Raw genomic sequence first — 26,660 nt, forward strand, 5'->3', positions numbered from 1 at the left:
TTAAGTATCTTAATATAATACCACACACAAAAATTCTGGAAAAACACAAGCTAGTCAAATCAATGTTGCTAGAAACTGAAATAATTCTCCTTGTGATACTAGCATGCCCATATTAGATAACTATTTATAGTCTAAATTTTAAGGCATTAGGCAAGTTTAAGAGTTTTTTTGTTTTTTTTTTAAAACAATCCCCCTCCCAGTTCAAAGAAATACAAAAGGTGCAATACTTAAAATGTTGGCTTCCCACAGACACTGTCAGGAAGTTGGTAGTGTTTAAAATTCCTATTTTCTCTTTCAGTTTATCAAAATTCCTTAGATATCTGATGGAATTTTTGAAATTGTGAGATTTGTGGCAATTAATTGATTTCCAGATATCTTCTTAAAGTACTGTAACAAGTATAGCCATTTTCTGGTTCAGACTGCTGTCAAAGTACTTACTTTCATTAAACAGTTCAGAAAACCAAAAAAAAAAAAAAAATGCCCCTAAGAAGAAGGTATTGAAATGACCAAAAATTGAAAACATTTCAAAGCAAAATTGTTAATGAGCTGTTTGAGCTATATGGACATTATAAGTGCAATTAACTAGAAGCCAATAAAAATAATCAATGACAGAGTGCAGCCCTCTGGTACCAAAGTGCTTTTACAAAGAGATGTCTGTGAAAGCAGCAAGTGATTAAAAAAGCCACCTTTATCTATGGGAGCGCGTGCTATTTTACATGAGTAGAAACGAAAATGATTTTCATTGACTATTTCTGAAGTTCAGCCTGTGGCAAACAGTGAAGAGCTGTGTGTGGGAATAGAGAAGTTTCTGCTCTTAGCTGCGCCCCCACCCCCTCCTTGCCAAGAATGTTGGAGGCAGCCACGATCTAATCAAAGAAAGGTAGGAGTTTAGATTTCAAAATGTAGATGTCACATTTCAGTGCCAACTACTCCTACATTAACCCTTTATCAGCAAGTCAAGATGAACCTTTTATCTCCTATGGAAGGGAAAACGTCTTGCTGAGATGGCCCTTCCATAGACGGGCAGTAAAAATGTTTAGGGTTTCTGTGCATCCCACTGAGGGTCCCCATCATCTCAGGGGGAGCACGAGGAGTTGTGAAAAGTAACGCACAACTGGTCATCAGAATAATTCATTCCCTCCACCTTCTCTGTAGCACCTCCCACTTCTCCTCTTTTTATAGCAGTCCTTTCTCTCTGAAAATCTCAGGTTACTTGACTGGGAGTTCTCAGACCTCCAGTTTCAGCCCTGCCCTCAGCCTCCAATCCGTAAGAGACACCCAGCCCCAGCAATTGGATTGGGCAGCCCGTCTTGACACACCACTGTGCTGAGTGCTTGAGGACGTGTTTCAACAGATGGTTGGGGTTAGTGTGTGTCATCACATTCGAGTGGGGATTAAGAGAAGGAAGGCTGCCTTGCTGGAGCTGTGTGGTCTTCTCCAAGTGAGAGTCGCAGGCAATAGAACTACTTTGCTTTTGGAGGAAAAGGAGGAATTCATTTTCAGCAGACACAAGAAAAGCAGTTTTTTTTTCAGGTAAAGTAAAAGACATTGAATGCTTCTCTCCCCCTCTCTCTTTTAGCATAGTTTTGAATGGAATGCTAGCACGGCACACTTGTCAAAGCCAGTTGTTGCTGTCCTATCAATGCTGCTATTGTACGGCTGACAGATGACGGTGAGCATAGCTTGATGCTTGGCTGTCTTTGTAGAACTAACACTCCTCATGCCTTGCTTTTGAAGGTGTAGCTAAGAAAATACCTTTGGGAGCCGCGTTTGTACCTTTTCATATCCCCGTTGTATACTCAAAACAGGAGCTATAACTTGCTTGTAGAGGATAGATAAGGCTGAGAAAGGATTTATTTTAGCTTTCAAAATTAAAATTCACTTTCAAACTGTTGCATTTTACTGCTCAATTTATAAAGATTCTTTGAAGGGTCTATTACTGAGTTGCTGGCAGAGGTGGAAGTGCTTTCTTCACCGATTTGTGCAAGGTAGATTATGTCTGATTTATGACAGAGCAAAGGGTGTTTTAAAATATTTTTGGAGATTGACTCTGAAGTTTGGAAACTCCTGAAGAGAAGGGGCTACCCTCTGAACAGCCACTAGGTCGGCTTTAAAACAAAAATGCTTAGAGCTGGAAGAAAAGCAGAGAAGGAAGAAGGAGGAAAATGCTCTTTAACATAGCCCTCTTGCAGCTGCAGGGAAAGCAGATGGAGGTAATTGATTTGCAGATCTGTTTGTGAAAGTTTTACAAGTCATGGAAAACTAAAGTAGCATCTCTGTAATGGATCATTAAGAGTCACTACATTTATAGGTTTTAGACCGGCTAAGTGAAGTGTTAATTAAACGTAAATAGATTTTCAGGTTTGGTTATAAACAGACAAACAGAAAGGATTTAATTATAAACTAGTCATTGGAAATTAATAGTCATCTGGTGCCTGAGCAACACAAAATGAGTTGTCATCATATATGCGAGTAGCCGTAACGGCTCTACCAAAAGCACCCACCAATATTGAATTGAACTATTTATAAATATAAGAAGGGGGTTTATATGCTATGTTTAATTTATAGTATTAAAAAAAAGGCCTTTCAATTCAGGCTCTATTTTCACAGGGATCAAAACATAAAATTTTTTATTTTCCAAATTTTCTAGCAAGATAGGTGAGCCAATGAGACTTCTGCTACCCTAATATACTTGCCCTCCGATAGCAACATTCATATACCTGTGGTATGCAGAGCTTCTGGCTCCTACTGGACTTTCACATTTGGCAGAGAAATCCAGCATTATCCTCACCCTTTGCAGGTGAGAGATTCTATGAATAATATTGTATATAAGCTGTTCTGAAATAAGAGCTGTTTGGTAGGTTGAATAACAGGATTTATGGCTAGTGCTTTGTGATTTTAGTATTCGATTGCATAAAGATGCCTGTAAAATTATGTTTCAAGTTGCATTATACATATTTTTGCAACCATGCAGATAATTTTTTTAAAATCCTTTTTTTAAAAAAGTTAAGATTAAAACAATATTTTAATATGGTCTTTAATTTTTATTCAAAATGTTCTCCAGTTATACTCTCAAACTTCTCCTTCAATGAGAAATTATCCTCATAAATACCCAGGCAGTTATTCCGACTGAGTATTATCTGATTCCCAATATTACATAACCAAAATAGATCCAAGTTCATAAGCTGAAGTCTTTCGGAGTTCCAGTCATTCCATTTTGGCTTTACAATGGAAATGAGGTTTTAAAAAATAAAGACAGAAAGGCAAGCTAATATCTCGTGTTGTATCAGGATTAGAACTACATGGACAGCATATAGCATGCATGGTGCTAACTACCAATACCATTTTTCACTACTGCAGAAATATTTCACAAGAAAGTCAAGTGCCTCCTCACAGATCGGATTTTCCTCCCTGAGATGTGGCATGATGGCATCTAACAGAGGCAAGGTGCTATTTAGCAACAGGTGCCCCACCAGCATACATCCCTGATGTTGCAGATCGATCACAGGGCTGCCTGGACAGGACTTTGACAGTATGGGACAATTCCCCTGAAAAAAACAATTGTACACAGGATTAGGCAGGATAGAAACAAGAAAGGAAGTGTGGAGAGATAATAAATTCACACCTTGAAACGGCAGCCGTGTTTTTGTCCCCCTAACAGGGTAATGTGAAGTTACTTCGTGAACTGAAAGGGCTTGCTTGAAACACAGTGTCCACAGGGCAATCCCAGCTTCTTGTCAAAATCAAAATCTACTGTCCCAGGTGGTAAACATGCAGAGACATATTTATGGCGACCTCTACATACCTCAGTTTGACATTTGGTTTCTTCCTGACAGCACTTGTGCTGGTAATACACATGAAGTTCCCATCAGCATTCTACCAGCTGTGAAAGTGTTTGAGCACACGGGATATCCCTTCCAGAGAAGCGAAAAATAATGGAGGTTGAGGAGATCTGAAATGTGCACTCGGTATGCATTAAGGTGACAGATCTTAGAGGTGAAAAGTGATCTGAAAGCTTGATTTGTGAAAGTGACAAAATTCATTTTTATGGTGGTGTGCAATACCAAAATACATTAGTCCAGGTATTCACTGAATCCATGGTAGGTTATGAGTAGGAACCTCCATCAGGAAACTAGAAGGGTTCTACTCTGTTTTCCTTCTAAGAAAATGTAAGTGACTTCATGCAGATTGTTGTAGCCATTTCCATCATAATAGTAGAGACAAGTGGCAAATGGGACATTTCCTATTTCCTTCCCTAATTATGTATCCATATTGGAAGGGTTAGAGGTTTGTTTCTTCTGTGTTTTATATTGAAAATGGGTTTATTCTTTAAAAATCCTAGGACCGGGCACAGTGGCTCACGCCTGTAATCCCAACATTTTGGGAGGCCGAGGCGGGTGGATCACCTGAGATCAGGAGTTCAAGTCCAGCCTGGCCAACATGGTGAAACCCCAAGTCTACTAAAAATACAAAAATTAGCCAGGCACGGTGGTGGGCACCTGTAATCCCAGCTACTTGGGAGTCTGAGGCAGGAGAATTGCTTGAACCCGAAAGGCGGAGGTTGCAGTGAGCCGAGATCGTGTCATTGCACTGCAGCCTGGGTGACAAGAGTGAAACTCCGTCTAAAAAACAAAAAAAACCATAAAGCAAGATTTCTGATACTGAGCTATATATAGTATTGAGATTTCCCCAACCATCGCCACATAGATGAGGCCAACCAAAGAGTCAGCTCAGGACATCCGGTTTTTTTTCCCCTGTGCAATATTTTTGTGTGGAGAACATAAAGTAAATTTAAGGGGATTAAAATTTTTAAAACCAGACTCTAAATAGATGGTCGCTTTTATCATTATTGACTTTGGGGAGAAGGAGGCTCATGTATGAAACTAAGTCTATGATCATGTGGTAAATTCAGCTTTTATTTAGGTTAGAACCATGAAAATTTTTGAAAGGAGATATCTTATGGAAAAAAATTGTCCTGAAATATGTTTCCTATTTAAATTCTTTTTAATCTATCTTAATATCCTGAGGAGGTGGGGAATTCGCCAGTTAGCCTTTTTTTCCCCTCTCATATTTTCCTCTCCCCTATAGCCAGTCTGTCATCAAATTCTGTGAGTCCTTCCTTTAAAATATCTCCCACATGTGGCCCATAGCTACCATCCCAGCGCAATGATCATCTCACATGTGGGCCATTGCAACAGCCTCCTAAATGGTCCACTTGCCTCCATTTCCCTCTTCTGTCTACTACTGCAGACTCAGCTTCCTAAAATGTCAGTTTCATCAAAGCTCTTCTAGTCTGAAAATTACCACATAAACCCTTACTACCCATAAAATGAATTTCAGTCCTATTCTAATGTGCTGGCCTTCTATTATTTGGCCCGAACTTTCCAACCATTTCTCCCCGCCAAATCCCCACAACCTCAGAAGTCTACCCTTCCTTCCAGCTAAAGTGGGCAGCACAGCATCTCTACTTTCTAGCCTTTTCTTTCAGCCCTAACCACTCTAGTTTTCTATCTTGTCTTTAAAATGAGTTTGTCATCATGTGCACGGTTCCTTCTAAGTCTACATTCATAAGCCTGTGTGTAAAATGCCCCACTCAGTTCATCCTTATCACCTCTATATATTCATCCTTCAAAGTTTCAGCTTAAGTTCCACCGCCTTTGAGAAGCCTCTCTGACCGCTACCTCTTCCAGCAATGCTTTTCTTCCCTTCATGTTGACCACTGGTTATCTATGGATTGCACTTAAAACAATTGCTTTATTTTTTATTCTGCTCTATAGTTTGCTTCTTTATTCCTTGACTTCTCAGGTGGAGTGACAGGGACTGGCCTGGTCCACTTTAATGACCCACAGAAGACCCTAATAAGTGTGCTTACTAAACTCACCAGGACATTCGAACACTCAAGACACTTTCCTCTCTAGAGTTACCCCAATTTAGAGCCATTCACTGGCTCCGGTAGCTTCCTCCCCACCCAGGACAGGAAACGAAAAAAAAAAAAATGAAACTCAGTGGGTTTTATTTGGGGGAAACTTAAGGAAAATGCCCCTAAGGCAGAAAGTGAAATAATTGCCCCAGATTAAGCTTGAGTATTATATGAAAAATCCCTATGAAGTTCAGCTTTAACTGTAGTAGAAATTACATGTATTGGCTGCTGCTCTATCATAAAATCCCAAATATGGCTTTGGAGCAGGAGAGTACAGGCTCTGGGTTCAAACAGACCTGTGTTCTAATCCAGGGACCACCTCTCTAGCTGTGTGGCCTTGGACAGCGAACTGACCCATTCTGAGATTCAGCTCCTTCCTCTGTAAAATACAGATAGGAGTACTTATCTTGGGAACATTTTAAAGAAAACACATAAATCACCTAGCTCAGTGCATATCCAATATTGTATGTTCAATAAATGGAAGTGAGAGAGGGTTGATTGGTGCATATGTAGATCCAGACCTAGGATGCAGGAATGACAAACGTTCAGCTATGTCAGTCATTAATCCTATGTATCTATGATGTGCCTTCCTTTAGCATTTTCTTCTGCCACCAAAGGCAGGGGAATAAGGAAAGGAGGGAGAGAGCAAGGGAGAGAAAGTGAGAGAGAGAGAGAGAGAGAAGGAGGGAGGTGCTCTTGGCATTTAGGGATTTGGAGCAACTGAGCTAATGGCTCTGTAGGGACAGTAGTGACAGTTAAATACACGTTGAGGGAGAAATGAAGCATGAAGCCCTGGGTCCTGCACCAAGGATAATAAAGAGCAGGCCCTGGGCCACTGTGCTATGCTGTTGGGGAACAAAGGACCCCATCCCTGTACCATAGCAGGGATTTGGATTCTCTAAGGGTCATGTGCTTCCCTTCTTTCCTCCTGGCTCACCATCTAGAAAGAAATATTAATAAAAACTTGGCAAAACATTGTAGAGAGTCAGATCGAGCTTCCAGAAGTAATTGATAAAGCAAGATACCATTTAGACTTCACCTTCAAACCAAATTTAACAAAAAAGCTGAAAGCAATCAGCTTGAGCCCCTTACCATTCCCAAACTCTGCACCCATCATCAAACATTGAACCTTCTATTTCTGCCTTTTCCCTGGAAGGGCAGCTGACTGTGAAATTCTCTAACAAGGCACTGAATGCCACTTAGCAAATATGTCCTTAGACATTGGATATTCAGTTCTAGCTTTCTGATCATCTGGTCTGCACCTGCCCTCAGCCAGGGAGAGGAAAGAAACTGGAACTGCCTGGGATGATGGGTAAGGCAGTATTTCTGGAGATCCCTCCCTCTCCCTAGCAAACATATCTATCAAATTTTCAAAGAGAGGCATTAACAATCACATTTGACACCATCGTCACCTGTAGCCGCTAAGCTAGTCTTCGTTGCCCTCTAAATATGTGGTCCATGTACTCCTGCACAGTAGTGTATTAAACTTTTTAAATTTTAATTTAATTTAATTTTTTGAGACAATGTCTCACTCTCTCATCCAGGCTGGAGGGCAATTGCAAGATCATAGCTTACAGCAGCCTCCGTCTTCTGGGCTCAAGTGATCCTCCTGCCTCAGTCTCATGAGTAGCTAGGATTGCCAGCATGCACCACCATACCCAGCTATTTTTTATTTTTAATTTTTTAGAGACTGGGTCTCACTATGGTACCCAGGCTGGTCTCAAACTCTTAGCCTCAAGTGGTCCTCCCAGTTCAGCCTCCCAAAGTGCTGGTATTACAGGTGTGAGCAACCACACCGGCCCTAAGCCACTTTTAATTAAAAAAAAAAATGTAGCTCTTCGCTTTACCTTCAAAGGTTAAATTTTTCTTTTGCTGTTTTATTTTTGTTTTTGTTTACTACACAGGTACAAACCTGTAGGAAACTATGTCTACGTTTTCTAAAATATGAATCTAAGGGACTTGGACATGCTACTGTTTAACTGCTGTCGGTGAGATTAATACTAAATCTCTGTGCGGAATAAATGAACAGACAGATTGTGTTTCTCAATCAAAAGTTTTAATTGTAAAAGGTAGACTCTCTCAAAATAAATCTATAAATTTTGGGTCGTACTAATCAAATTCTAAAATAAAGTTAGAAGGCTTGTGATGGGAGTGGAGTTTGGGAACTGGCAAGAGTCCACATGGCTCTTGTTGAATATAAACTAAAAAACATTCTAAAGCTGGATGGACAATCAATTCATGAGCAAGCCTAGACATTTTCATAAAACAGTATCCTTGTAAGATGGGGATTTGTCTTATTACATATCCAATCACATTATACCATAACAATTGAATTGTCTGTTCTTAAGCAATGGACTCTGATGTAGATTTCATCTACTGTCATGTAGTTTTCCTCTTGCTCTTCTTTGTTTTGCTCTATTCTTTTGTTGGCATTGACCAAATCTTCAGCTGAGCAACAAACTGCTGTAACCAGATGCTAGTTCTGTTGCTAGAATTAATGGAAACTCTGAACTAATTTTTTTATTTTGTCCTATGATCTTTCCAATCAGTAAATAGTGTTACTAATACATGCAACTTTTTCCACTTCATAGTACGCAAATAATTTCTGAGACAGGTTTGTTTCAAGAACTCAGGAAAATCTCCTTGTATTCCTTTGATGACAGAGGCTCAAAGATTATTCAGTCTAAGTGTCTTCCCATTTTCCTGAACAACACTGGCACATTTAGCCCATTCTTAAAAACCAAAATGGAAATCTGAAATACAAAGAGTTCTGTTTATTGTCCAGTTTTTTTGGTATGATGTTACAGGCATAATCTGCTATATTAATTTAAAGTAAAACTAAAGGTTACACAATTAAAAGATATTAGCTATACCAGAATTATGGTGGGAAAAGACTAATTGCATTCCAATGTACATTTATTGATCAGTTACTTTAGAAGTGTGCACCTCTAGATATTATCTTCAAACTCCTATCACAAATATGCCTTTGCTTCCCAATCACCTTTCTGTCATATAACATGTGTTCTGAATAGACTTCTTGCCAATTTAAAGTTTCACCCTTAACCTTCACCTGCCAATAATCAATCTTCTCCTGAATAGAATGTCCCTGTAAACAGATGTGCTTTACCGTGCATCCAGAAATTCTTGAAACCAGCTTTTAACTTTCATCTTATAAAAAGTGCATCCCACAAAAGACAGGCCCCCTACAAATCATGTTCTCTTTTTTTCTTCTGAGAACTTTATGCTGGTAAAAGAAAAGAAAGTTTTCCGAATATAACAGATAAATAAAAGCATAGGACATGTAATATTTTTTACTTGGGATGCCTAGAGGCTTTACATGTGTTATCACATTCTTTTTCATATGTGATATTGAGATTTAGTAAAGGAGATTTATGATATGGACCCAATATCAAACAGATTAAATCTTTTTATTTTACTTTGACTCAGTTTCCTTCTCTGTAAAATGGAGTTAAGTTTATCACAAAAGGTTGTTATAAAGATTAGATGAGATAATAAAATAAGATGCTTAACACAGAATATAGAACAGAGAAACTGCACAAACACAAAACACAAAAGCTACATTTTTGTTCCAAGATGGCAAAAGACATGGCTTGAGCTGAGGCTTGGTGATAAAGTGAGTATGTCCTTTTCAAATAAAAATAGCCCTTCTTAATCTCATGATCTGTATGACACAATTTGGAAATATAATGAAGGTGGCCACTTGGCAAAGAAGAGAAAGAGGAAGAGGGAGGGAAAGAGGATAGAGGCAAAGAAGAGAAAAAAAGGAATGGAAGAGGAGGGGAAACATTGTGATCCTCTCTTGCCTCTGCTCTGTGCCTTGCTATAATAAGCATTTCATGTCATAGCTAAGTCAGGCCAGATTCTAGAGTGTCCTAACACATCAGGTAGAGAGGTTGGACTTGATAGCTAAACAGATGCCTTAGGAAGTTCAAGCAGTAGGTTTTTAAGAATAAAGAGAGATTAAGGAAAAATGAGAGTGACAGTGAGTGAGCAGAGACAGAGAGAGAAAGAGAGAGGGGGATAACAAGACAATTGATCCCCAGAGTTCAAATAAATTAAAAAAAAAATGTTGTCTATTCCCATCGACGCAGTGGGAATAAGGAAAGGATGGGTGTAAGAAACATGGTGAAGAAATAAATAACAATAATGCAACTTGGTGATTAGTCAAATAGAGGACAAAAGAGAGAAAAATACTGAGGTATCAAGCCCAGGACACAGGGAAATGGTGGCTCAATCTAAAGCTACTGAAAATGGAATTTCATTCGGCAACACAATACATTCCCAAAGTGACAATGGTCATTATGGAACAAATGTTTATCTGTTATCTGTGAACAGACTACACTCAATAGAACTTTATAATGCAAACATATGTAAATATATGTGTATATCAATGTTTAATAATATATGTGCTGCTGAAGCAAGCACTCAATGTTTAATAATATAATTTAAATAGATACAATCTAATGTTCTGATCATTGGTGGGCATTAGACAGAATACACAACTGTGATTTTCATAAGGCATATGCCGCCTTAGATTTAAAAAAAAATTTTCTCAGATTAAGAAAATGGTTGGCCAAGTAACAATCTAGCATTTCTATAACTTTGGGGAAGTTACGGATATTCGAGTCAAAATACTCAACTACATCTGCATAACACCTATATAATTCTCTTCTTTTGACTAAGAGACTGTTAGTGGAGCGGAACATGAAATTTAAAAAGTCTAGAGGCAAGAAGAGATGAAATATTTAAGTTGCCTATGCTCACAAACCTTCATATTCTACCTTGGAGGAGGCTGATTGACATCCTTTCACAGAATGTACCAATGACTTATTCACAAATGAAATACACGTTCCCTTCTTCACTACAAAGACAAATCATCCTTAATTTTATGATTTGGGAATGGTTTCCCCATTCCCCTGCTTTTCTTTCTATCCCCTTTTGTTTTGTCCTTTTTTGTTTTATTTGTTTCAACCATTTCCTATTCAAAATAAGAGGGCCATTCTCTAGTCAAGTCTTCCTACTAAATCAATGGGCAGTTTTCAGAACTAGGTATAGATTTCTTAGAAGTAGAAGATTGTGTTTGCCTTTTCAAACTCGTGCATTATATGTTGGAGGCAGCATGACTGAAAGAATACAGAGCTTGAGTCAGCAAAATCTGGAACTGAAATGTAGCCCTGTTACTGAAAATTTGTGGGAATAGCATTGACCATGGAGACTTGACAGCATTTTCGTTCCTCAAAAGAGACTTGGGTCCCATTCAAGTTTTTAATGAAGACTTTGGCCTGTTCTATGTTACCCAACTGGGTTTTCTGAACCATATTCCCTAGTTCCCCTGGAAGAAACGCCAGCCTAAGTATCAGCACCTGTAATCTATTTCTCACTCAGGGTTGCCAGACATGAGGGATTAATTGACATGAGCCAGTTTATATTTGGAAGCCATTAATGGCTAGCAACTGAATTGTTGAGACATCCAGTGCAACGAACCAGAGAGGAAAGAATAACACACAAGTGCCATAGTTAGATCAATAAACATCATCTTCGGCAAGCACAAACGTTGGGTTTAGCTGCCAAACTTAAAACTAGGTCTCTTCATCTAGTACCCACTTAGGTCAATGGGCCAGGGTCCTGGTATAGAGATTAGGGACTGAAACATGAGTTGATATTTCCAAACTTCTTAATTTTGGATTGTCTAAGTTCAGATTTCAATTCAAGATTCTACTCCTACATGTTACGCTTTTAGATCTGTCTTGGAGGTACAAAGACTTCTGGAATTAGAGAAGTTTGGTCCTTCTAAGAAGAGAAAAATGAATAAGTAGAGAAGTCAGAAAAAAGAATACAATGCAGTCAAAACATGTTCTGTCATACAGAGTCACCTTACCTTTTCGATGTAAAAACCAGGACAGAAAACGGGGGGAAAAATAAGCTATATGAAAAACTTCATGTATAGCAATTGTTATTCTCATTAGCCTTTCTTCTACAAAAATAGCTGTCTATTCATCTAACATTCTGGTGAACTACTACAGTAGTCTCAGAAGTGAAATTAAAAGTGTTCCTACAATTGCTTCTACCACTGTCATAACCCCTTTGGAAGCTTAGAATACTCCACTTAACTTCCTCATCTGCTTCAGGCAAATCATATTTCTTGTTGCGCAAATAAAATTAAAATGTATATTTTATTATTCCCCTGGTAACTTTTCAAGTCTGAAAAAATAATTAAGCACACTATTAGCAATGAAATAAAATTTGCTGAATAATGACAGCAGTGTTGGAGCCAGGAAAAAGAGGCAGGGTGGTACAGTGGAAAGATATTAGAAATCTGGATTCTAGAACTTGGCTACTATTAATAGTGTGATTTTGAGCAAATTAGTTAAGATTTCAGGAGCATGCCATCATCTCTTTGCCTGCATTCTGCCATTCCCTTCACCTAGATGGCATTATTCTCCTTCTTTACTGGCAAACTCTGCTCTTCCTTTAAGACAAGCTTAAATAAATAAAGCATTCTCCTTTGTTTTTTTTTGAGAAAGTGTCTCGCTCTGTCACTCAGGCAGGGTGCAGTGGTGTGATCATGGCTCATTGCAGTGTTGACCTCCTGGGCTTAATAGATCCTCCCACCTCAGCCTCCCAAGTAGCTGGGACCTCCAGCACACACCAGCCTGGCTAAATTTTTCCTATTTTCTATAGAGATGGGTTCTCCCTATGTTGCCCAACTGGTCTCAAACCGCTGGGCTAAAGCAATCCCCTGCCTCAGCATTCCAAAGTGCTAGGATTACAGGTGCAAGCCACTGTACCCAGCCTAAGCATTCTCCTTGAAACTAAAAAGAATGGTTGGAGGAAAGAGGAAGGACTTCAATCCAGTTCTGCATCACCTCGTGCATCTGAAATAAGCTCTGTACCTTATCTCTTTCTTATCTCCACTCATCTTACCTACTGCCATTAAACTCATCTTATTTCTACACTGTTTCATCATATCACTCCACTACTCTAAAACACCTGTCTCCCAATTTTCTGCAGCATCCAGTCTAAATAAATGACCAGCAATTAAGAACCTCCATGATCTTTTCCACTATGACCATCCCACTCCCCCTATACACTTTCTGCTCTTTCCTAAAGTGGTTCAACATGTCCTGAATTTACATCTTTACTTCTGCTACAAGGCACGTGCTCACACTGTTTTCTGGGCTAGGACTGCCTCCCATCATGGTTCTGCATGTCCAAATTCCATCCATCCTTGAAAAGAAAGACTCAAGCCTCATTACCTCCATGGAACTTTCTTTTCCTAACTCTTCCAACCATCAATAATCTCTCTCTCATCTGTGCTCTTTTTCCACTTAAAATCTTGTCACATAATTTTAGCTCTTAATTATGTACAATTTTGCATTTATTCTTATTCTCATCATTTTTTTAAATTGCCTTCTCTCTCTTATATTTTGAGAAACAGTAAGACAAGTTGAGTTTTGAGCCTCTGCATCTATCAAGCATAGCTTCAAGGTGGTAGAGCCAGTACATCCTAAAGGCCTTCATTACACATTCACAGTTAGAATGATCAAGGACTACTGGGATAGAACATTATATTTTAGTCATTGAGAATTTTAGGAAACTAATCAGCAGCACATTCACAACTACCCCGGGCATTCTTTTGACAATGTGGAAGGCACCATCTCATGCACTGATTCTCTGGCTCAGATTTTTTGTTTCCATCTTCTGCCCACATCACTCTCCAGGGCTGCATTTGCGCCAGCTGGATTCCATCCAGAAACAGATTCAAATAGACAATAGGCCAACTAGAATTCCCATCTTCCTTGATTAGATGTGAAATTGTATAGCTGGGTGTCACTCACATGCCAGCCACTCAGGATTCTATGTTATCAATTAATTTCTCTTGAGAGCTGAACTGAGGAGATTGTGACAATTCTGTTTTCAAGGACCTGTAAAATAACAGCTAGACCAGATTTTTATGGATAGTGCTAGATATATAGGCCTGTCCACTATCTGCCGCATAGCATAAATTAAAACACCCTGTTAATTTCATAGTAAATCGTATTGGGTGTTTTTTTCTTCTGCAGTGTGAATGGATTGTAAAAATTTTGTCTAGGAATGGCATTCTCATTTGTAGGACAATTAGCAACTGAGGTAAAAGGTTTATATTACTTAGAAGAAAGACGAACTTATTGCACACTGTCAAAACTACTGAATCTTATTTGTTGTTGTTGCTTCAATAACTTAGAATTTGCAGTGGATTTTCCAGGAAAGGATATCATAGAAACACAGAATGTTGGAGGCGTACCTCCAACAATCTAAGCTAAATCTAAGCAGAATGTTGGAGGCATACCTTAGAGATCATCTAAGCAGAATCTCTCAGTTTACATCTGAGGAAACACAGGACTGGGTTTGTTGGGAGACCTGCCTAAAATCACAAAACTCATTCTTACAAGGCAGAGTTCTAAATCCAGGCTTTATCTTTCTAAAAAGTATGAGTCGGTAAATTCTACCGGGATGAAAATGAGTTCATGTGTCCACTTTACATTGGGACCCGACAAGGAAAAGAGATGAGTCCAGCTCCCTTTTCGACCATGGACTTTCTTGCTGAGGGCTACCGTGAGTAATCAGGCAGTGTAAATGATGATTGGGACTGGAACAAATACAAGAAAAAGCTTTTTTTTTTTCAGATGTACTCCTTATGGAAAATCTGTTCTAATTGAGATCACCAAGCACCGTTGCTATGGATGATCTGTGCAAACATGCAGCTTTATCATAGAGAAACTTCTTTGTAAAAGCATTTTTTAACATACACTTAAAGAACACACTATCCACTGTTGATGATGACAATATTAACCATTACGACTTCAAAACAATTTTCACTTGCACTAAACCACTGGAACTTGTAATATTTGAGTAAGGAAAGCAGTGTGTCATTTCTGTACACCAGAAAACTGAAGCTGAGGGACAGCATGCCATTTGCCTGAGTCTAAACACCTGAGTGAGGTAATTAGTGTTAGAACTCATGTCTTCTGGATCCCACTTCACTGCCTAATACTTCAAATGATTTCAAATATACCATATTTGGTCAATATTAGGGATACCTATTGCATTAGAACAGTTGAACTGTCCCCTTAGTAATGTCACCTTACTGGGAAATAAACATTTGAATACTTCCTCAAGTACTGGAACTTTCCCAAGAGAAGTATATGAGCAATATTCTTCATAGCTTAATAAATTACATGATTGTATATACAATTATGCATCTATATAATTTGCATTTGAAGCTGATTTATTTGTAAAAGAAGTAGCAGTATTCATTATTAGATTATAAATGTATTTCCTAGTCATAACTTCCATTTGTTATTTTGTACTATAAGGAATAACAATTTAATAACTCAAAATAAAAAGATTAATTTAGAATATCCTAAGTATGATTCTGACTTTTTAAAAAAGTTTTGTTTTTCACTGCATGTTCTCACTCATAGGTGGGAATTGAACAATGAGAACACATGGACACAGGAAGGGGAACATCACACTCTGGGGACTGTTGTGGGATGGGGGAGGGGGGAGGGATAGCATTAGGAGATATACCTAATGCTAAATGATGAGTTAATGGGTGCAGCACACCAGCATGGCACATGTATACATATGTAACAAACCTGCACATTGTGCACATGTACCCTAAAACTTAAAGTATAATAATAATAAAATAAAAATAAAAATAAAAGTTTTGTTTTTAAGACATGTTCTAGATTTCCTTTTTGGTGTTGTAAGTATCTCAAGAAAGCCATTATGATTTCCAGAGCAATGAAAGAAATACGTCATAGGAAAAAGAGCATTTTCGTTCATATTTTTAGGTTATTGGTCATATTTCAATCCACTGGAAAATGTGATTGCAAATCTGGTTAGATTTATAAAAATATCAGGCTTACCAGTATTACAACTTCTTATGAAAGTGTGAATTCTGTTGAGAATGTGAAGATAAAGTGGCAGAATAATTATCTTTTTTTATATCTAAACTTTATAATAGTGAATGCTGTTGAAAAAGGGATTCTATGAAAGTTATTTTTTGATCCATAAGAATACTTTGTTCATACTATTTTCCTTTTCTTAAATTTCCAATTTTTATTTTAAGTTTAGGGATACATGAGCAGGTTGTGCAGGTGTGTTCCATAGGTAAACGTGTGCCATGGTGGTTTGCTGCACAGATCACCCCATCACCCAGGTATTAAGCCAAGCTTCCATTAGCTATTCTTCCTGATGCTTTTCCTCCTCCCAACCACTCACCCTATGACAGGCCCCGGTGTGTGTTGCTCCCCGCCATTGTGTCCATGTGTTCTCATCATTCAGCTCCCACTTATAAGTGAGAACATGCGGTATTTGGTTTTCTCTTCCTGAGTTAGTTTGCTAAGGATAATGGCCTCCAGCTCCATCCATGTCCCTGTGAAGGACATGATCTCTTTCTTTTTTATATTCATACTATTTTCAGCTAAGCCTATACATTAGACACTTCTATAAAACAGTGCTTCCCTATTTCCTATTTATATCTCAGTTGTTGTTTATAATGAAAATAAAGTATGCCATTTTCACTACTCAAAGAAAAGACCAGAAGAAATAAAGCTGAGCTCTTACTAAACTCTTAACAGCTGTATTCTTGATCTTCCATTGAGTAGCAACTGCTCTTTAGTTTCTATCACCTTGCCTCAAACATGGTCATAACCTCCACCAAAAAGACCACATAAAATAGCAAACTGTTGAAATGAGAAAGAGCACCAAGAAAAGATGTAAGTCCTTGCAGGAGGAATGCAACTCAAAAAGGATGACACAGAGGGTGAGGGCATCAGACTCTTTTGCTCTCACCACTGAGAAAAATTTGGCACTATAACCGGCTAGATAATGGGCTCTCTTCATTTGCACTCTACTACCATTTGTAAATCCTCTGAAGTTTTAAGTAATTTGATTTTCCCCATAGTTTATGAAATATACAACCTTTAGTTTTATATAACAATTTATACTTTTCAACATGCCTTTAAACATTTCATTTGGTTTTGACAACCTTATGGATCATGCCACATAACTAAGTACTTGTGCCCATTTTAAAGAAATAGAAACAGAGGCACATCTTTGGTGACACATACTGAAATATTAATGTATAGTGGTATAAGATCATGATGTGTGCAGTTTACTGTCAATAGTTCAAGGGAGGAATATATATATATATAATTTTATAAAATCTCTGTTTGTATATATAGAGAGAGAGGGGCAGGGGGAGGGAATGAAATTGATAAGGCAAGACATTGGGGCAAGTCGTTAACCATAAATGACTATGGGTAACTGGTATGTAAGTGTTCTTTCTACTATTCTTCCAGCTTTTCCGTAAGTTTGAAATTATTTTCAAATACAAATTTTTAAAAATTAATTAAGGAAAATTAAGTAATTTGTATAAATAAACAGCTGATTAGAGGCAAAGTGAACAACTAGGATCCAGGTCTCCTAACTATAATCTATTTCTGTAAACTGAAAGTAATTTCCACTTAAATTATAGTCAGCCCTTCATATCCACAGTTCCACCTCAGTGGATTAAACCAACCTTGGATAGAAAAACTATTCAGGGGAAAAAAATACAACAATAAAAAAATACAAATTTTAGAATACAGTATATTATATTTACATAGCACTTACCTTACATTGGGTATTATAAGTAATCTAGAGAGGATTCAAAGTATATCGGAAGATGTGTGTAGATTATATGCAAATATTATGTCATCATATATCAGGGACTTGAGCACCCCTGATTTTGGTATCTACAGTGGGGCTCTGGAATCAATTCTCCAAGGAGACCAAGGGAACGAGGGAGACTGTATTTATAATCACAATCATACGTTTTGCCAGTCAGTCATCAATAATCAATACCATAGCTCACGAGAAACTCATAATGATTTATTAATAACCTTTATTTATATATCATACTACTTATTGCAAACTGTTTTCACTGACCTTATTTTATTTGGTCTTCATAATGCTTCCAATGAAGTGGATTGGACAGGCATTGTGGGACCCATTTTACAGACTAAGAAACAGGCTGTGAAGGTTACTTATACCATTAATGTTCACAGCTACTAAACGGCAGAATTTAGAAGGATGCCAAGAGAGAATACTGGAAAGAGCACTGGTTCTGGAATTTAGGATTTAAATTCCAATATGCCTTCTTAGCATTCTAATGCCTTTTTATACTCCTACTGACCATACCTAAAACTTCTAGGGCTCGTATTATATTTCGCAATAGAAAAGCAATGTTCTTGCCGGCACGGTGGCTCACACCTCACCTGTAGTCCCAGCTAATCAAGAGGCTGAGGCAGGAGGATCACGTGAACCTTAGAGTTCCAGGCTGCAATGAGCTATGATTGTGTCCACTGCAACCCAGCCTGGGCAACAGAGCAAGACCCTGTCCCTAACAAAGCAAAAAACAAAAACATTCTCTTAAAGAACAAAACAAAATGACTGAGAAAGATGTCTGTTTTACTTACTAATGTTATATGTAACAATAACAGCTAAGATTTATTAAATACATGCTTACCATGTACAAGTAAGTGCTATACATACATTATCTAATTTAATTTATGCAACATCTCTATGACATAGAATTATCTTGGTCCCAGTCTTACAAGCAAGGAAATAGGCTCTGAGAGTTTGACTGACTTGGCCAAGTTTACAGACTTGCAGGGGCCAAGGTTGGATATGGACCCAGAAATCTGACTCCATACCCGCTACCATTAACTAGTCCTTATTCCACATTTTCCTTTTTTTCCTTTAAGCTCAGTTGACTTTTTAACGAATGTCTTTTCCTCATATTTAGTAATTTTTAAATTCTGAAATTAAGATAATGCTTTCTAGAAACATAGTTTATATGGAAAAATATTTGCATGAAAAAATAGACCCTCCTTCTTATTTGCAACCTCTTGAAAGCAGGCACCACATCTTATCTGCATCAACAGCAGCTCCTGGCACACATGGAACATTCAATAAATGTTTGTTAAATGAATGAATAATGTTCAGAGTTCTCTATTAAAAAGTTCTTACATGATCTAAATACTTAAAGACAGGACCTAAAAATTAAGTTGGCTCAATTCACCAAATCTCAACTTTATAGTAAAGCACACAGTTTTGGTCCCAGAAAAACAAATAAATGAAAGCAGAAAACAAATTTCACTTTTAAGAAATTTTTAATTCTGCCCTTGGAAAGTTGAACTGCTCTGTGGATGTTTCAACAAATGTGGCCTTTAACTATCTGGATAATCTTTTTTAGATTATAATCTATAGTCTGCATGACAAAAAGTGATGCCCAGGCTCACTAATGTCTGCATTTCATTATTTTCCTTTTGCTGTAACCAGATAGGATTTAAAAAAGGAGAAACAGTCAAGCAAGGACCATGGTCTCAGGAAAGGAGGAGAACCACCTCCAGGATATACAGCTTGCTTTCATCTTCCTCTTCTTCTTCTTCTTCTTCTTCTTCTTCTTCTTCTTTTCTTCCTCCTCCTCCTCCTCTTCGAGACAGGAGTCACACCATGTTGCTCAGTCTGATCTGGAACTCCTGAGCTCAAGCTACTGTCCTGCCTCAGCCTCCTGAGTATCTGGGACTACAGGTGCATGTCACAGCACCCGGCTACAGCCAGCTTTCCAAGGTGCCCATCACAGCTGCCCTCTGAGCAATGACTCAGGAAGGGACCAGTTGGAGGGAAGATGGGAGCTCAGGAAAAGTGTCAGGATACACCTTGCAACCTCCTTCTTCTAACCCGTGCTTTCAGCCCTTCCTTTTGTGGTTTCTTCCCACTCCAAAATTTCCCATAATATTTATTTGCATAAATTTTCCCCAAAATAGGAATGACTAGGCATATTGAGAGGACCACATTTACCTACCGCCCTTCCCACTTTAGTAATAGCATCATTGTTCTACCCTGTGCATTCCAGTATAGCACACAGACATCTTAAGTGCAGAACTTAACTTTATTGCAACATAAGGGAATTTCGGGGTAAAAACTGCATTCGTGAAATCAATCACACATGGGGCTCAGGTTACTCAGCCTGGCATGGTTCAAAGCCTTATAGCAATTCCTCGTAGGCGCTGCCTGTTGTCACTCCCTTGGCTGTCTGTCACCCTTGCCTCAGGCTCCAGCCTTAGCCTCAGCTTCTTCTTCCTAATGCACCTGCCAGCCCCAGACATGGGTACTTTCCAGATTCTGCAGAATGAGGCTTTTTCCTGTCTAAGTCTCAGCACATCCTTATCAGCATCTCACACAGACTGCAACCTCTGCAGTCGGCTTGTGTCCAGGGTCCTAGTCCCCATCACTGCTTCCTCTTTATACTCTCCGCCCAATGCCTGCTCCTGTGCGTTCCCACACTCCTGCCCTCTGGCATGTACAGTTTCACATTTGTAATCTATGCCTCTACGTACTTACAAGAAGAGGAGGTGAAAAACTGGATTTGGCACATATTGAATTTCTTGGACCGTGTTCATTTTTTTCTGTGTCTGGAATCCACTGTTTTCTAGCAAAAACTTTCTTAAGATTTCAAACACCAACCCTAACACTCTGAGTTTACCTGCTTGAATGACTGCCTGTCCCTCGGGCTGAAGTCACAACATTCAGGTTATTATTAATGATTGTCAATCACCATCTTTTTGGGTCCCTGTTGTTTTGCCTTCATATAATTTAATATTTCTATTTAAACACAGAAACTTGGGCAACTGTCAGAGTCACTCCTCAGCTAATGCTCCCTGGAAAGGGCATATGCTTTTTGCTCACTCAAGGCAGATAATACTGAACAAGTGCTTAAGAACGTTCATGCCATAAAAGACTCTCAGAAAAGGAAGGAGAAACTGAACGATACCGAGTCCTTACACATGCAGGACACGGCTATTTCCTTTCAGATTTTGTAATTCCTATACTGGTCATTCTAGTTCTAAGTAAAGAAACCAGGCTTTTTTTAAAAAAAAAAAATCACAAATCTGTAGAGCTAGGATTTGGACCCAAGTCAGTTTGTCTCCAAAAATTCATGCGTTTTCTCAAAAGAAAGTTCTATATAAATGCTAAACAGAAAACCCAGTCATTAATTACATGGAGGCAGTTTACATTTTCCTGCAATTTACACCTTTTTTTTTCCAGACTAATTAAATTTCCTACGCTGGTAAAGTGCTTCTTCCCACAGTTTACTAGAGTTTTTGGTAAAGAGCTAAAAGAAGGTTTGCTGTGAAGCTGGCGAGGAAGAGAAGACTGAGATTCCAATAAAAACTTGTTAACTGGCGTGCAACACCGTGCCTATTAAGAGTAGAACAACTCTCCTACAGAACACACAGCCGAGTCTATACATTGCTTGTTAAGTACTGGCCCAAGTGCTCATGTCTCAGACTTGTCCCTTGGACCCATGCCCAAGCCAGCCCTGAGAGGGTTGGAACAACTCCCCCGCCCCTGCAGAAAACACGACTGGTTATTTAGAATCTAGGGCATCACAATGAACATGGCTCAGTATTTTCATAAGGTATTACTACTGTTGTTCTGAAAAAGCAAGGCATGCGCGCACTTACTTAATATGTTCTTTGTTGATTTACACGTCCTTGATTTTTAAATCACTTCCAGAAATTCCTAGTAAATGGGAAAAGAATTTCTCAAATAAATATGTTATCTTTTCCTCCAACAGAATGCCAGATCACTTCTTGAAAGATCGTTTCCAGATTCTTCTTCAGTTCAAACTGATTTTCACAAACTTGAATCTGCACGCCATAATTAGGAAGCTACTGCAGGCCAATTTATTTGGTTAATTTGCATCAGTCTAAATAATTTTTCCTGACAGATTACTTCCGTTCTAAGTACCAAGTACTTTTTAATCCTAGTCAGGTTATTGCTAAGGATAAATGATTTCACATTTCTCATAAAGATGCCTGTCATTAAGAATATTAACACAAATTCCTTCCCCTTGAATAGAAATGAGCTGTCATTTTAGCAATCTTGCTGTGTCAGCCTTTCTATTGTCAAACACAACAAATGATGGGAAAATCAATTTACTCTTTAGAATTAGTCAAGTGAGGAATCCTTTGAAGTGGGGGTGCAGAGTTTCGCCTGAATTCTATAATCACGTAACAGCGAGTACTGTATGTATGTTGGTAAAATGTTGTGAAATTTAATGAGGACTATTTGTTGCCATAAGACCTTCCAGACAGAATCTATCTCTGAAAAAGAATTCCCCACTCCTAAAATAGAGGTCTGATGAGCAACAGATGTGGTTTAAATGAACCCTTGTTCAACTGAACCAAGAATATATTGTGATCTGTATGAGGCACAATTCAGAAGAGAGGGGAGGTGGCTACAGCACAGCCTCAGTGTTGAGTTTGGTTGTGGGGTTTAAACATATTTATTTATTTCATAAAGTTTCTCTCATAAGGCACAATGCAAATGAGCTTTTAATTAATACAATCTAATGTTCAGAGGATGGTCTTCATGCTGTTTATAAAACAATTTACATTTTTATTTTGTAGTCTAAGAACGTGTGTCGAAAAGCATGTCAGTGAGTAGCCATAACCTTCAGAGTGATCTATGTCCTGGCAATGATTTGTAAGTTCCACAACTCAGTTTCTCCACCCATAAAGAGAAGATTAGATCGTTGTTCAAGAATGACAACTATTTAATATTTGGAAATGACTAAATAATGAAGTGCCTGGATTCTATAGAAATGCCGAGGAGAAAAGAAGATTAATTTCAAACCAAAGTCTAGTGCAAACATGACCTTCCTATTGTAAATCTCATGAATAGGAGAAGAAATAACATCTAAAGCTTTGTTTCTAGGGCTGAGACTCTGGAAATATATTAATTTTAGGTTGTTTCTGATGGCAAAAAAAAAGATCCGTCTATTACAATCTCTTGCCTGTGGAGATGAGAAAAAATTCTTCCTGCTACCTTTGACTGAAATAATGCAGTTAGCAAAGATTTAAATGACAAGAGTAGAAGTGTCATCTTTTTGTCCCTTTGCCTCTAGGCAGGACTACAGTTAAGCCATCTCAGGAAAGAGAAGAGTGCTATTGCTCCCAAAACTCTCCAGGTGAGAATGATAAAAATTAAAAACAGCAAGTGAGAAAACTCAGGGGCCCTGAAATTAATAAAGGTCAGTTCCAGCTCACATCGTTTCAGTTAAAATTTATTTCTATTTGGAAATAGCCTAACAGCAAAACTCCAACGGATGGGCTGTTTGGCACTAGTTCTCGGTGAAAATTCCATTTAGTATTACTACTACTGTCTGATCTTTTTCTATTCAGCCTCCTCTTCACCCTGTTGGTGAGGGAGGGAGGCCATCCTAGGGATCTGGGGATGGCCAAATACACAGCACCCAACAGTGGACAGATGACAGCCACAGCAGCTTAAAAGTCACATAAACTCACAGCCCAGGGAAGGAGGATCAGGGAAGGAGGATAACACATACCATGCAGGGCACACAGGGGTTGCACCGGGAACAGAGTGGACAAGCAGAGGCTGCAGGAGGCAGTAGTAACAAGAGAATGCGGTGCCCTGAGGCTCCCCGGGGAAGGTGTAATTGGCTTGTTTGAATAATTGTGTGGGCTGGTAAGGAAGTAAAACCCATAAGGTTGAAGACCTGGTGGAGTGAGGCTGGCCCAGCTGACAGAGGAATGAGCCAGGTGGGCGTCCTTTCTTGCTGGAGGGGACATATCTATGAAAGCAGGGGAGCTCACAGTTAGGCCTTGGGGGGTCCTGATGAGGCTCAAAGATAATAAATACCAAGGTAACACGTGAGATTTTAGGCGTTACAAGCCGATCCATACAAACTAAACCGACTTATATGAGACTCATGTTCCCTTGACCATGCCTGATCTCTCTAAGGTCTTTTCCACACCTATTTTGTCTCACAGGAAAAGAGCCACTTTTGACTAGATTGATAAAATGGGAGTTTAAGCAATTTTTCTAGCAGGAGGACTCTCAGGCCAAGACCATGTAATTAGCTAAATGACTCATGCAGAAGTATCCTACACTCCTCCCTTTGGTTTGAATGAAAAGAGTAGGAGAGCCCTAAATCATCCAGACAAATTACATCTTTAACTCTTTACTTAATTTTAGTCTGTCACAAGGTAAATATTGACAAACTTTAGACTTATAGCCAGAGGGCTAAAAAAAAAAAATAAGTCTAGCTTGCCACTGTGGCTGTTTTCTGCCCTCCATTTTTCTTTCTTTCTCTTTTTTTTTTTTTTTTTTTTTTTGAGATGGAGTCTTGCTCTGTCGCCCAGGCTGGAGTGCAGAGGGGCGATCTTGGCTCACTGCAAGCTCCGCCTCCCAGGTTCAGGCCATTCTCCTACCTCAGCCTCCCAAGTAGCTGGGACTACAGGTGCCTGCCACCATGCCCAGCTAATTTCTTGTATTTTCAGTAGAGACGGGGTTTCACCATGTTAGCCAGGATGGTCTCCATTTCCTGACCTTGTGATCAGGAGCATGAGCCACTGCGCCCGGCCCCCGCCTTCCGTTTTTCAAGAATACTGTCGGGACACACACAGGTCAGGGAAATGTAGATTCTCTCATTTCCCCTGGTTTTTAACAAATGTCCTTTATATAAAAGACAAAACTTGAGATGTTCAGGCTCTGTCTGAAACTACTGGCCTCTTGCATCCTTTAGATAAAGGACATTTGAAGTTAATGCTGGGCCTGTCATCCTTAGTTATACCACGTTGGACAAGGCATTTTATCTTCTGGATCCCAAGTTCCATACTTTTCTTTTTTTTTTTTTTTTTTGAGATGGGGTCTCACTGTGTTGCCCAGGCTGGAATGCAGTGGCACAATCTGGGCTCACTGCAACCTCTGCCTCCTGGGCTCAAGTGATCCTCCCACTTCAGCCTCCCAAGTAGCTGGGACTACAGGTATGCGCCACCACACCTGGCTAATTTTTTTATTTTTTGCAGAGACGGGGTTTCATCATGTTGCCCATGCTAGTCTCGAACTTCTGGCTCAAGCAATCCACCCGCCTTGGCCTCCAAAGCACTGGCATTATAGGCATGAGCCACCATGCATGGCTATACTCTTTAATGAGGAAGTTAAACAAGAGTTTAAAAATTTTTTTTTAGCAACAAAACCATTGTCTCAAACAAAGTCTTAAGTCACTCTATAAAACAGATGGAGATAATATTTCTCCATTTGACTCCAACTGAGTAAAGTCCAAGCCAGATTGCCTGGCCTCCCTCACATTCGTCCCCTTCCCACACACTGCCAAGGTTCCTGAAGTACCCCTTGAAAGCCTAAAGCTTGTTGGAACCCAGTTTGAAAACCACCAGATGAGATAATATCTCAGGTTTCTTCCAGCTTTCAGTAGAATAGAAAAATCATTGACTATGGAATCAGACCTAGATTCAAATCCTAGTTCTGTCACTTTCTAAGCTGTATGACCAGACTCAATTTACCCATCTGTAAACGAAAACAAAAATAGTTCTGCTAGGTTAAAAAGACATGTAAAGCATCTAGGCCAGTTCCTGAAACCCAGGAGGGATTTGTAAATAGTAGCTATAATAAAGGTTATGGTCCTCACCTGAGCATAACAAAATGAGAGATGATCCTACACTTGAACTACAAATTTGCAGTAAGATCGCTGTCATTCCTGAAGCCGAATCCTCAGGAACTTGAGGCCAAAATTCTTTAAAACCTGAATTGGTTTTAATTGTTCCAAATTAGTAGAGGGGGGAAAATTCTTCTAATTCACTGAACAATCTGTATGCGTGGAGAGCATGTACTGCATAGACACACCCCAAGTCTCTTAAATGACACCACGGTCGATCCAACTAGCACAGGTGGAATTTGAAGCATGTTACTTTTACCAAAAAATAACAGGGGAAATGTCATTAAGAACACTTTAATACAAAGCCACAAGAAATTCAGTATCTGACAGCTCATGTTCTATATTTCACCCCATATCATAAAACAATTCACCAGAGAGCAGTTGTTCATTTGCTGAGCTGCTGTTGTGATAGCACATATTATTTCAATAATGGAGGAGTTCCTCCATAAAATCAGTCCCAGAAGCCAGTGATGTCTGAAAAATCTCACCTTTGGAGAATTTTCCTGGCATTCTGTAAAGGAAGTTGCACTTACAGGTCCTCTAATGTGCAGCAGCAAAGGAACAACAGATGCCAACATTCTTGTTTGCCTCATGAACTTAAGCCCTAAAGTAAGCTGACTTGAGTAAAGTTTAGAGGCTCCCCTTCAAGTTTTAGAAAAGCTTTCTTGTTTAACTTATGCAAATTTACACACCCTCATGAACCTATTGCATATATCCGACAACCGTCCATATTTTAGTACCATGTGGTGGCTCTCACCTATGCCCATATAGCTGGCGACAATGCAGGTAAGATCTGGTCAGCTGTCAGTTTCATTCAGTGAATACTCACTGAGCACCTGCTTTATGCAGGGCCCTGTCCTGGGCCACCAGGGAGAACAACGCAAGGTTCCAAACCTATGGAGACAGACAACGCATGCGGAATGACAACAGAGAAACAGAGTCACACGGAGAAAAGAGGGGAAATTGGGGAAGGCTTTTGTGGGGGAGGCGGGATTTGAACTGAGCCTTGAAGGAAGTGGGTGTGAGGATGGGGGTATGAGTAAAGATGGGAAATGGAGAATTGAAAGGCCGTCTTTAGAGAATGATTCACATTATAACGTGCTGGGGAGTAGGTGAGGCGGGAGGGCGGGATGGGAAGTGGGA

General features: G+C 39.1%; 1 protein-coding gene across 22 annotated transcripts in view, besides 1 other annotated feature; it reads left to right on the forward strand.

The window, feature by feature from the left end:
- Window positions 1,119-1,659: an enhancer, noted in NCBI's record as "OCT4-NANOG hESC enhancer chr8:70378771-70379311 (GRCh37/hg19 assembly coordinates)". NCBI's record gives its function as "activates a minimal SCP1, AML or CMV promoter by ChIP-STARR-seq in primed H9 embryonic stem cells {active_cell/tissue: H9 hESC(primed)}" and the evidence as "EXISTENCE:reporter gene assay evidence [ECO:0000049][PMID:30033119]".
- SULF1 (sulfatase 1) overlaps window positions 1,364-26,660 on the forward strand; it is a 194,132-nt gene continuing 168,835 nt past the window's right edge. For 21 of the 22 annotated variants that reach the window (NR_182051.1, NR_182053.1, NR_182050.1 and 18 more), the window contains exon 1: window positions 1,364-1,533. The gene's annotated coding sequence lies outside the window, so the exon portion shown is untranslated. Of the gene's footprint in view, window positions 1,534-22,946; window positions 23,010-26,660 lie in introns of all 22 variants that reach the window. The other variant, NM_001412835.1, reaches the window with a different exon arrangement.

The sequence above is a fragment of the Homo sapiens genome, chromosome 8, assembly GCF_000001405.40.
Source record: "Homo sapiens chromosome 8, GRCh38.p14 Primary Assembly".
Lineage (NCBI taxonomy): Eukaryota > Metazoa > Chordata > Mammalia > Primates > Hominidae > Homo > Homo sapiens.